This window comes from Homo sapiens, chromosome 3, assembly GCF_000001405.40.
Source record: "Homo sapiens chromosome 3, GRCh38.p14 Primary Assembly".
Lineage (NCBI taxonomy): Eukaryota > Metazoa > Chordata > Mammalia > Primates > Hominidae > Homo > Homo sapiens.
In genome coordinates this window covers 124,586,607-124,599,542 of record NC_000003.12, presented here as the reverse complement: position 1 = coordinate 124,599,542, position 12,936 = coordinate 124,586,607, and the positions used below count along the sequence as shown (strand labels likewise).

The 12,936-nt window shown below is 43.4% G+C and overlaps 1 protein-coding gene across 34 annotated transcripts in view, besides 2 other annotated features; it reads right to left on the bottom strand.

Moving 5' to 3' along the window:
• Positions 1-12,936, bottom strand: part of KALRN (kalirin RhoGEF kinase) — a 692,957-nt gene that overhangs the window by 126,783 nt on the left and 553,238 nt on the right. The window lies entirely within an intron of this gene.
• Positions 6,103-6,222: an enhancer, noted in NCBI's record as "active region_20398". NCBI's record gives its function as "activates an Ori minimal core promoter by ATAC-STARR-seq in GM12878 lymphoblastoid cells {active_cell/tissue: GM12878}" and the evidence as "EXISTENCE:reporter gene assay evidence [ECO:0000049][PMID:35858748]".
• Positions 6,403-6,482: an enhancer, noted in NCBI's record as "active region_20397". NCBI's record gives its function as "activates an Ori minimal core promoter by ATAC-STARR-seq in GM12878 lymphoblastoid cells {active_cell/tissue: GM12878}" and the evidence as "EXISTENCE:reporter gene assay evidence [ECO:0000049][PMID:35858748]".

Below are 12,936 nucleotides of genomic sequence, written 5' to 3'. Positions count from 1 at the left end.
AGGAGGCAGCAGCTGTGGATGGCAATGCCTCAGAACAGAAATGAGAGACAGATGGGAAAGGCCAAGGTGGGTTGCAGGGAATGGGACTCTGGTTCTTTTAATCTGGATCCCAGTGCCAACATAATTATGACGAGACTCAGGTTGCAAATCAGGAAGTAAGAGCCCTGGCAGTGATCCTTTGTGACTTAGGTACAGGTTCCTCAGAGGTTCTTATAGACCAAAGAACGGCAGGAGAGCTCTTGAAGCAAGTCGGCTTCAAGCAAGGTCCTAAAAAATGTGAGCATGATAAGGCTATCCAGCTTTATGCCGCTTTTACTCTACTTCCCTACCTTACGTTCTCCCATAGTAGTTAGCAAAACCTTTCGGAAATACTTTTTAAACTTGGTAGAGAACACAAATAATACCCACTTGCGGGCCAGAAGAGGGGTAGTAACAAGACTCTTGGTAGCTATGTCAGTTCCTCAGGCAGGGTCCCGACTGCCCAATCTAACCCCCACCCCACCCCTGTCCCCAGATAGTCTCAGAGCATCTTGTTCTTTTCCTTGAGAGTACTTAGAAATGTGTGTGAGGCCAGGCGTGGTGGCTACACCTGTAATCCCAGCACTGTGGGAGGTTGAGGTGGGCAGATTGCTTGAGCCCAGCTGTTCCAGACCAGCCTGGCCAACATGGCAAGACCTTGTCTCTATTAAATATAAGAAATTAGCTAGGCGTAGTGGCGTGCTACTGTGGTCCCAGCTACTCTTGAGGCTTAGGTAGGAGGATGGCTTGGGCCTGGGATGCGGAGGTTGCAGTGAGCCGAGATTGAGCCACTGCACTCCAGCCTGGGTGACAGAGCAAATGTCACCTGTCTCAAAAACAATGACAAAAACAACATCAAACAAACAACAACAACACAAAAAAACAAACAAAACGTGTGTGAATGAGACAGAGGGGGTAATGAGGGGAAGAGAGAGAGAAGGACCTATATATGATGCCCCTCTACACTGCAAAATTATGACAGCAGTTCCTTGTCCTCTTTAGATTTCTGATTATTGAGGGGACCAGGAGTCAGGAGGCCTCCAGCAAGGCCCCAGAATACTCTGGCAGCCACTGGCCTCACTGGATCTCTGGGAAGACTTCACAGGACTGGATTAAATTAGAGCACACTGGCAATCAAGGTCTGGCTTCAGGTCAACCTTCACCTTGCACCTGGCTACGGGAAGCCCCTTGGGATGTCTCAAGAAAGTCTTCCGACCTTCTTTGGAGATTCCAGGCCATTGGAGTAGCCCTTGATTTCATCAAGACCAGCTGGACCTCTCTCTCCTAGGTTCTGGAAATCAAGCTGTGATTTCAGATGGACTTGGGCCTCCAGAGGAGCAGCTGATTTCCCCCAGAATCCCTCTGGACGTTTGTAAATACCAGAAACAAGTGGCCACTGTGGGACAGATTTCTGTGGAATCAAACTGGAGCAGGTGGCTAAAATACAGTTCCAGGAACCTGAGAGTGAGTTCCAATTCACTGGGGTCCTTGGCCCTCCAGATTCCTTCCAAAGAGCTGGGTCTTCCCTCAGACTAGATCCAGTACTCCACCCTCCCTGTTCCTCCAAACATAAGGGCAGGACCGTCCTACACTTCACTATCTTCTCTACAGAGATATATAAAATTTACTACAGATAGAATGGAATCATTTCACTAATTATTATAAAGTAGAAACAAACAGGTGAAATTAGTTTTATTGCATTACATTTAACCCAGTAGCTCCAAAAGTTTTTTTTTAATCTCATATTTCATTTCAAAACAATAGCTCCAAATATCATTTCAATATATAACCAATATAAAAATTGAGATGCTTTAAATATTTACATATACAGCATATCTCAATTTGGACTGGCCTCATTTCAGGTCCTCAGTAGCCACAAATGGCCAGTGGCTACTGGATTGGACAGTGCAGCTTTAGAAAGCAGCTCTAACCAAGTTTTCCTCTGTGGTCCCCTGAATATCCCTGCTGCTTTGCTCCCACTATGTCCTTGGCCCTTTAAAAACCCCTTCCTGCTCTTTAGCACGCAGTGAGAACCCTGCATCCCCTGGGGAGTCCTCCCAGATCATCCCAGGCTGCTATGCTCACATCAGCTTCTACGTAATTATTTTAGCCAGCAATCTGGCAGGACCTCGCAGCACTGTTCCCCTTATTGTCTTTAGCAACTGATTTTTCTTTTCTTTTTTTCCCCTTTTTGTTATCACTGTTTCACATTTATGGAATAGCTCCCAACTTGGTTTACTTGGGACCAACTCGGGGCAGAGAAATATCTTAAGATTTCTATGTCACTAGCCTAATATCTGCCACACAGTATTCAAATATTTGGGAATCAACACAAAAAGTGCTCAGCCTAATTTCCTGTTTGATTAAGGAATTAATGAAACCATCTGAATGTGATGGTTGGCACAGGTCCACAGAGACATCTATGTACTTATTTTTGTTGTTTTGTTTTGTTTGTGTTTTTGTTTTTGTTTTTTTTTAAGACAGAGTCTTGCTCTGTCACCTAGATTGGAGTGCCATAGCACAAACTTGGCTCACTGCAACCTCCGCCTCCCGGGTTCAAGGATTCTCACGCCTCAGTCTCCCAAGTAGCTGAGACTACAGGCATGCACCACCAATGCCTGGCTAATTTTTGTATTTTTGGTAGAGATGGGGTTTCGCCATATTGGCCAGGCTGGTCTCGAACTCCTGGCCTCAACTGATCTACCCACCTCGGCCTCCCAAAGTGTTGGGATTACAGGCGTGGGCCACCGTGCCCGACCCTATGTACTTATTAATGATAGTAATAATCCAACACCTACCTAGATTTACCACAGGCCAGGTGCAAGTGATTTACATACATCAACTCACCTAAGCCTTGCAAAAACCCTATGAAGAGATTCCATGGTCTTCATCTTCCAGATGAAGAAACTGAAGAAACTGTACTGTATATTTAAATTACACACCAGATTTCAAAGACTTGGTACAAAAAAATAATGTAAAGCATCTCAATTTTTATATTGATTGTATGTTGATATGATATTTGGAGCTATTGTGGGGTTTTTTTGTTTGTTTGTTTTTAAGACGGAGTCTTGCTCTTGTCCCCCAGGATGGAGTGCAATGGCGCGATTTTGGCTCACTGCAACCTCCACCTCTTGGGTTCAAGCGATTCTCCTGCCTCAACCTCCCAAGTAGCTGTGATTACAGGCGACCACCACCATGCCCAGTTAAATTTTGTATTTTCACCATGTTGGTCAGACTGGCCTCGAACTGCTGACCTCAGGTGATCCACCTGCCTCAGCCTCCCAAAGTGCTGGGATTACAGACATGAGCTACTGCACCTGGTCCTTTTTTTTTTTTTTTCTTTAAGATGGAGCTATTGTTTTGAAATGAAATATGAGATGAAAAAACTGTGAGCTATTGGGTTAAAAGCAATACAATAAAACTAATTTCACCTGTTTGTTTCTACTTTTTAATAATTAGTGAAATGATATCATTCTATTTGTAGAATCATTCTATCTGAGTTTATGTATCTTGCACAGAGTTACAGCAGAGCTGGGATTCAAATTCATTCTGGCACCTGATTCCAAGTTCGTAATCATCATGATATATTGCCTTTCATTCCAGAATGCCACAAAATATACTTTTTATACCCTACATATCAGTCTATATCCTATGAATTAAAGGCATTCGCTTATTATACTCTCAGCCAGGGTATTTCCTTATATAAAAAGAATTCATTCAGAAAATGTAAACAGAAGTAAACAGGAGAGACATGAAATTCTTGGTACTAGAGGATGTTTCTCATAAATCCTCTTAAAACAAAAATAGTACATTCTTCCTTTCAAAGGGTATGAAACTGAGGGTACTTGGTAACAAGTTCTTGTAATTCCAGACACCCTTTGATTCTGGAACTATTTCAAGGAATGTATCCTAAGGAAGTAATTATGGATGTGTACTAGGACATCCATGATTGCCATTACATAGTGTTTATAACAGCAAAAATCAGAAATAACCTAAAATAGGGAGATTATTTCAATCAGAACAAATCACATTTACATGATAAAATGTGTATATAGTGGTATACTAATAAACCAGCCCTCTAAATAAAACAAGAAGCCCCAATTCATGGTGTCTGGTAACTTCCATGGTATAAATACTCCCACCATGGCTGATCTCAAGCTACTAATAGTTTAATAATCTGCTCTGGAAATCCTGACTATTTAACAATCCCTGTCTGAGCTGAGCTGGCTCCAGTATACCATGGAATACATTCATTAAAATGTAGTAGAAGTCGTTCAATATGTTAGGTGAAAACAGTTTGTAACACTTCTGTATCATATTTCTGAGAAAAAAAAACACACATGGAAAAAAAAGACCAAAAGAATGTATGTTGTGTTAATACTAGTTATCTCTAAGTGATATAATTTTATCTTCACTTATCTGTATTTTCAAATTTTCCCATTTATGTATGATTTTTCTCAGAAAAAAAAATCAAGGTTCTCTTCCTAGTTGCAATAATTTAAAAATGAACTATTTCCCATGGTATATCTCAAAAAAATAAATAAATAAAATTTTTAAAAAAATTTAAAAAAAGGAAAGAAAAAGAAAAAAGGAAAGAAAAATCCCTGGACCTGCTCAGTGACATCAGCTGCACAATGAGAAGGCCCCAGGGTGAGAAGATTCCCAATACCTCATAACTAAGAAAAAGAGGGGAGGGGTAAATCCTGAGGCTCCAGCCACAGTGCTTGCTGATCTCCTGGGGAGGAGAGATAAAGGCTGATCATTCACTGGTCCTGCAGAAAGGCAAGGTGGGAAGTGGGACTGGAGATATGTCAGTCCCAGGACAAGAATTAGTCTGTTTATATAATCTGATCCTGGAAAGATCTATTTCTTAACCCAGGACTCTTCCCAGGATCTTCCCACCGAACTCTTAACCATTATATTAAACTAATACTAATAGTTGTCAAGTTTAAGTCTTGTCTGCAATGAAACACTTTTATAGTCATTGAAAATATCCTGGAAGGCTGGGCGCGGTGGCTCACACCTGTAATCCCAGCACTTTGGGAGGCCAAGGCAGGCGGATCACAAGGTCAAGAGATCGAGACCATCCTGGCCAACATGGTGAAACCCCATCTCTACTAAAAATTCAAAAATCAGTTGGGCGTGGTGGCGCACGCCTGTAGTCCCAGCTACTTGGGAGGCTGAGGCAGCAGAATAGCTTGAACCCAGGAAACGGAGGTTGCAGTGAGTCAAGATTGCGCCACTGCACTCCAGCCTGGTGACAGAGCGAGACTCTGTCTCCAAAAAAAATTCCTGGAAATGCATCCATAGGGAAAGATGTTCAGAAGATTAAATGAAAGCAAGTTATAAAAGCAGCATGTAAAAATGAACCCATTTAAGTAAAAAGCGGTAAACATACGGAAAAGAATATAGTAAGTGATTAGGTAGTGGTTGTCTCTAGATGGTTAGGATTATGCTATTTTGGTCTTTTTGTTTGCCTAAGTTTTGATTTTTTTCTGTAGTCAGCATAGTTACTTTTAAGAGTAATGAGGAGGCCGGGTGTGGTGGCTCACACCTGTAATGCCAACACTTTGAAGGGCTGAGGTAGGAGGATTACTTGAACCCAGGAGTTAGAGACCAGCCTGGGCAATATGGCAAGACCTCGTTTGGCAGGGGAATGTGGCGGGAGAGGGTAATGAGGAAAACAAAATAAAAGCAAAGTAATCTTAAGTGAGAAGAAAGATGCAACAACCTCCCTTACTGGATCTTTGGGCTGTTAAGCTCGTGGAAGACATAGATAATTCCTGATTCCTAATTCCTATTCCCTGACACCCCTGTGAAAGCAAATAGCAAATGGGCCTCTACAATGTCTCAAACCAAGAATTCCCCAGGGACACAGGGAGCCTTCCATTATGGAATGTTTTGCTGGAGCTGGGGAGAGGAGGCAGGTTAGGGGAGGGTGGAGGGAGAAAAGAGAGAAAAGAACAAATCAAAAAGAAAAAGACAAGACTGAGAGGAAATCTACCTTTTCCCTCCAAGTGAGCAGCACTAAGTTAGTAGTCCTCAAATTTGAGCGTGCACCACAACCACCTGGAGGGCTTATTAAAACACAGACTGCTAGAGCCCATCCCTCAGTTGTGGGGTGAGGCGGGGCAGGGTGGTCAATGGTGCCTGGGAATCTGCATTTGTAACATGTTCCCAGGTGACCACACTTTGAGAACTTCTGCTCTAAGTCATTCTGTGAGTAGGCAGACAAAGAAGAGAAGGAGCACTGCACAGATATGAAACTGAGATACAAAATGTGTGGCAAACAATGTGTTTGCAATTCTTTTAAACAACAAGGCTTGGTTTCCCCTTTGAATGGGAAAAGATAACATCCCTTTCCCCACAGGAGCAATATGAAGATTCTCATGGAGAGAGAGCAGAAACTGAGAATATCCTGACAGCTGATGACACACCAGATGCTGTAAAAGAAGAGATACAAGCCCACAACTAATCCTGCGCTGGGAAGAGCACATACCTGGAAACAGAAACATTTTAGGAGGTACTGCTTTGACCTAGCAGCAGAAGGGGTTTCCCTCCCCTTCAATTTGACAGTTTCCTCACTGTGGTCACCAGAAAGGCAAAAAGAATGTGGAACAACCTGTTTTAGTAACTCTGATCTTTGCTCTTTCACTTGGCAAAAGCTGCCTGGCAGCCTCCTGGCTGCCTCACAGGTGTAACCAGGGTTCCCCTCCTTCCAGGAATTGTAACACAGTTCTGCCAAGAGCAAAAGATATGCTCTATTAGTCATTGATTACAGCAGGCAGGGAGGCAAGCCACCCGTGGGCCTCACCTACAAGGGAGGGGGAAGATACTGGTGGAGCCTCAGTGAAACATCCAGCACCATGGGGGCTGGAATAATGGCCTGAGGGCAGCCGGTTATGATTTTTATCTAGGCAAAAACAGTCTGAAGAAGAACCAACAAAGCCTCAAACATAAAAGATGTGCAATAAATATTGGCCAAAAAGAAGAGAAAAACGTTTCCAATGATATTGCTAACCAAAGTCAAGGCACAGGCAAGAAAAAGCAATTGGCTATCTTTTTTTTTTATAATGTAGATGCTCAGCATCCAAACTTCAAAAATCGGGTTGCTATTCTCCAGTTCTTGTACCTTGTGTTGCCCCTAAGAGAAGGATAACTTAGGGATATGTAGGCTTCTTGCCAGGATTTTTTCTTTTTTTTTTTTTTTTTTTTGTTTCTTTGAGACGGAGTCTTGCTCTGTCACCCAAGCTGGAGTGCAGTGGCTCTATCTCGGCTCACTGCAACCTCTGCTTCCCGGGTTCAAGCAATTCTCCTGACTCAGCCTCCCGAGTAGCTGGGGTTATAGACGTGCACCACCACACCCAGGTAATTTTTGTATTTTTAGTAGAGACGGGGGTTTCACTATGTTGGCCAGGCTGGTCTTGAACTCCCAACCTCAGGTGATCTGCCTGCCTCAGCGTCCCAGAGTGCTGGGATTACACGTGTGAGCCACTATGCCCAGACTCTTGCCAGTATCTTCTGTTGAATCTTCTTTTATGTAACACAAAGAAATTACAACACTGGAAGTGTTATGTGGTTTTTTATTGGTCTAATTAAGTTTTTTAAAAAGGAAATTCCCACCACACATCTAGATCACAAGTTTTCTTCCCCACAGTGACAACTCCACAGCACTGAGGCACTGTTGACAATGGTTTGAGCCAGGGCCATTAAATTGCTTTGGAACTTACATTTACAGTGTTACCACCAACTGGACCTACAGATATTTAGCTGGGAGTCCCCTGAGGATGGGGTCTATGTCTAGTATTACAATTACTGCTATGGTTAATAGCTAATTTTTTTAGAGCACTTTATATGCCTGGCATTATGCTAGGCCCTTTACTTACATTGTCTTAACCAATCTTCACAGCTCAATGGGGTAAATGTCATTAGATTCCTTCTTGTCCACTCTCCCAAGCACCTAGCACAGGGCTGGCATGCAGTCAGCATAAACATTTGTCAAATAAATTAAAACACTGTGTTACACAAAAAGCAATGTTCAAAGATGCAATGACTGTGAAAGGGTAAGCTTCAAGAACAGGGACAATGGCTGGGCATGGTGGCTCACACCTGTAACCTCAGCACTTTGGGAGGTAGAGATGAGAGGATTGCTTGTGTCCAGAAGTTCAAGACCGGCTTGGGCAACACAGTGAGGCCTTGTCTCAAAAAAAGAAAAGGAAAGAACAAGGACAAAAAAGGGCGGGGAAAAGGGACCTGAATTAAGTTGAACCAGAGAGAAAAACATGAACAGATATTAACTAAGAAAACGTGTACAAGCTGCTCTGGGAGAGAGAGATGTGATGGTGGTCTCTGACATCTTCAGTTTTGGGACAGAAGAGTCCCTTGAAAGCAGACCACATTTGAAAGCAGGTACATTTAATTCCAAATGGCTCCAGGCAGTGCATTCACCCCCAGAAACAACAGATCAACACAGTCAACACCCGATTTAGAGTTTGGGTACTATCTCTACCCTTCTCAGTTGGGTCAGTCCTGCCTCTGTTCAGACGAAGACAAGCCACATGCCCAGGAATGAAAAAGAGTTGAGGAAAGAATATCAGAAAAGGATGCTAGTTCTGATCCTGCTACTAAAAGGCTGGATCTCCATTTTCTCCTGTATAAAAGGAGTAGGAGGAATTAAATGATTCCTGGTGTTCCTTCTGGCTGTAGCTTTCCATGATTTAGTCCCTTCTGCTTGAGAAGACACCCTCAGGTTTCAGACCTCAGCCTTTTCCAGAGCCTTCCTTCAGGAAAAGCCTGGGGTTAGGTCTGAAGGAAGGGGCAGGATGTGCTACTCACTGAAAGAGTAGCACTTCAAAAAGATGGGCAATCACTTCTTGGCCTTTTGGCTAAGATCAAGTGCAAAAAGATGGGCAATGTTTTTAGGGTAGAAGAAAACAGTATGAAGATTCTTAAAAGGAATACCACAAAATAGAATATCAGCAACACTACTCCAGAAGGTATGCCCAGTGTTGTATGGGCTCAAGAGTAAAGTCCTCAACATTCAACTTGCTTTTTTATTTTTATTTTTAAAGTTATTTTGCATTAAAAAACAGATACAGAGTCATAATTTGCACCTTTTATTCCCAAGGTAGGATTTATGAACCTATACCCTATGGAACCATTGCCTACAGGATTATCAGTGATTGTTGGGCATGCAGCTGTACCACAGGAGGGATATTCAGCTTCAGTTTCCAAACTCCACCTCACCCCACCACCTTCATACACCCCCATTTCTACCATGCTGTGGTTTGACTGGCAGTCAGTACTGTTATCCAGATACTAATTGATACTGTATCTAGGTAATAAATGATACACCTATCACCATTCAGTAGATTAGATAATCAGACATGGAAAGAGAAGCATAGGATTCGGGTTGAAGACAGTAAATATGTGTGCTACTTCTTCCCAGGTTGAGTATATCCCTGGTTGATTCTGCTGAGACATTTAATTTAAAAAAAAGAAAAAAAGAAAAAAGAAAGATAGAAATAGAGTACATCCCTGGGAGGCAAAGAAAACCAAGAGACATATCGCAAAAGCATACAGTAGGCCCTGTGTATCCACAGGTTCTACATCCTCAGATTCACCAAACTCTGACAAAAAATACTGTATTTGTGGGATGCGAAACCCATGGGCACAGAGGTCTGACTTTTTGTATCTGAAGATTCAATAAGGCCGACTATGGGACTTGAACATCCTTAAAGTTTGGTACCCGCAGGGGTTCCTGGAACCAATCCCCTGTGGCTACTGAGGGACAACTGTATATGCTAAATAATCAATTCAGTTTCCATCATGGTAAAGGCATTTCCTAGAAGATGAAGAAATAAAAGGATACACATCAAGGCCCCAAGGATTTTATCCCCTGGATGGTGAATTTTTATTTTTGTTTATTTTTTGGAAACAGGGTCTCACTCTGTCACCCAGGCTGAGTGCAGTGGTGCCATCATAGTTCACTGCAAACTTGAATTCATGGGCTCAACCGATCCTCCCACCTCAACCTCCCGAGTAGCTGGGACTACAGGTGCATGTCACTACACCCAGCTAATATTTTAATTTGTAGAGATGGGATCTCCCTATGTTGCTCAGGCTGGTCTTGATCTCCTGGGCTCACACAGTCCTCCTGCCTTGGCCTTCCAAAGTGCTGGGATTACAGTGGATGGTGAATTAAAGTCAACAACAGTGAATGTCATAATGGTTCCTTTTTGCAGTTACCAACACCTTTGTAAAGGAACTTGGTGTCACGGTTTCACATATTAAACTCCATTTATCAAATGGGCTATATTAATTTAAGGACCAAGGAAGAGATATTTACGTCAAGTCATAAGGTTTCTGGCTGAGAATTCTGGAACAAAGTAGGATAAGACAAAGTTATAGATAAAAATGCCTTTGGATGCCCTGTGAATCCCCATACACTTACCCAAAGCCCATGACATCAGAGACAAGCAGGAAGGACTACCCAAGTAAAGAAAGAATCATAGAAACCAATCCCTGCACCTCCCCAGTGAAGTGATTCAGTTTGGGTAAGTCCCACCTCCTTCCTCTCTTTACCTCTGAGATGTTCAGGTGGCTGGACTATCTCAGTCTAAATGTGAAGACACAATGGCACGTGGGCTTGGGATGCAAGGACAATGATACAGCAATAAACAAGTATAAATAAATCCCATGCACACTGTGGAGGATGGTAATCAGGAAAAGCTTTCAAAAGGGGACTTTTGTCCACATACCTAAAGCTAATGAAAGTTGACTAGAAACTTAAGTCTCTTGGTTGGGCACGGTGACTCACACCTGTAATCCCAGTACTTTGGGAGGCCGAGGGGAGTGGATCACTTGAGGTCAGGAGTTCAAGACCAGCCTAGACAAAATGGTGAAACCCCGTCTCTACTGAAAATACAAAAAATTAGCCGGGCATGGTGGTGCACGCCTGTAGTCCCAGCTATTCAGGAGGCTGACGCATGAGAATTGCTTGAACCTGGGAGGCAGAGGTTGCAGTGAGCCAAGATTGTCCCACTGCACTCCAGCCTGGGCGACAGAGCGAGACTCCATCTCAAAACAAAATTAAGTCTCTAAAACTGGCTTCTACCTAGAAAGGTCAGAAAAATCTCTGGGCTCCTTGATCACAAATTCCAGTGCAATACATAACTTAGCAATTTCCAGGTGATTTGAAATCTTTTCTGAACTGACCCACTTTTTCAGGCTTGAAGGACAGTCTAGCTAGTCAAAGCTATCCCAAAACTAACTCCCCACAGAGTGTGACATCAATGATTTATCACCCCTTAGACACATGCATGCCATTATCTCACTTTTGGTTGTTTTTCACCTTCAAAAAGGCAGTTATAAATGCATTTGCCTTCTTTCTTCCTTCTTACCCGATATCTATTTCCTTTCTATCCTTGGTTTTCAGTTTTCCTGCCTTTCAACACCAGTTTCAAGATAGGGAAGAAAAATCATCTTTCATCAAACCTGCTTTCTGTACTCATACTCAATAGAACCAAAAAGGCTAAGTGCAGTGGTTCACGCCTGTAATCCCAGCATTTTGGGAGGCTGAGGCAGTAGGATCACTTGAGCCCAGAAGTTTGAGACCAGCCTGGCAACATAGTGAGACCTTGTCTCTACAAAAAATAAAAATATTAGCCTGGGGTAGTGGCATGCACCTATGGTCCCAGCCACTTGGGAGGCTGAGGTGGGAGCCCAGGAGATCCTGGTTGTGGTGAACCATGATCAAACCACTACACTCCAGCCTGGGCAACAGAGTGAGACCCTGTATCAAAAAAAAAAAAAAAAAAAAAAAAAGTGGAGGGTGGGGGTGGAGGGAAAAATACAAGATAGTCGCTTTCCATACTCTTCCAAATCAAAAGATAAGTTCAGTGAAATTCATCCATATTTTCCTCAAATGTGATATTTAAAGACCACACAGGTACTTTATCTAAATCCTTGACTCTGACCCTAGTGATGACAATTACAACCACTCAGAATTCACCAGAGAAATCCCAATGTAGCTCACTTAGCTTCAAGTCAAAAATAGCCAAAACATTCCACTTCCTCTTGGTTCTTTTACTTTTGTCCTTTTCCTCAGACTTTAGAAGGAGGTATCCTTTAAATCCTGCATGACTGGAAGTCAGATGGTCAAGTCCCCTTGCCTTGGGAACCACAGCAGTGGGCTCTGAGTCATTGCTTCAGAGTCAAGCTACTCAAGCCGCAGGAGACAGCCAAGTTCTCCCTGAGAGAGAAGGGATAGAGACCAAACAACCGGCCGCCTTTATCTACAAGGTGGAGTGTGGAGGTTGCCTTTCCATTGTATTTTCCCTAAGACCAGAGGAACTGGTTCAACTGAAAAGGGAGGCAGTCAGTCCCCTGCAGTGCACACCCTCCACTTGAGAGACAGCCTCAAGACTCTCCCCTCAGCCCTTTTGGGTGTTGCAATTGGGCAAGCCTCTTCCCAAAGAGTCCACGGACTCTGGGCCATGCACTCAGGCTCAATACAGACCTTATCTTTTCAATCTGTTTTCAAATTGATGCCTACAGGCTGAGTGGAGACTGTTTTCGGTTAGAGTGAGCCTGAGGGAGCCTCAGGGCATGCCCAACACCTCAGACACGACCCCCAGCCTAGCCACAGGCAGGAGTTTTCTTTGGAGAGTGGCTAACTCACCTCCCCCACCATCGTCCTCTGATGAGCCCGTTTTTCATCTTCACACATTTCAGATCTAGGGGAGTGAGGAGTAAAGCAGGAGAAGGCCCCGGGCACCCACCTTGCCACCCTTCTTTTCCCTTTTAAACTGGTCTCATTGCTTGGACCTCTGACTCCCTCAGTCTTCATCTGAGGGTCGCTAGCCTTTTCAGCTCCCGCTCCTACGATAGCCACTCGCACGCCTCCTCTCCTAGCCA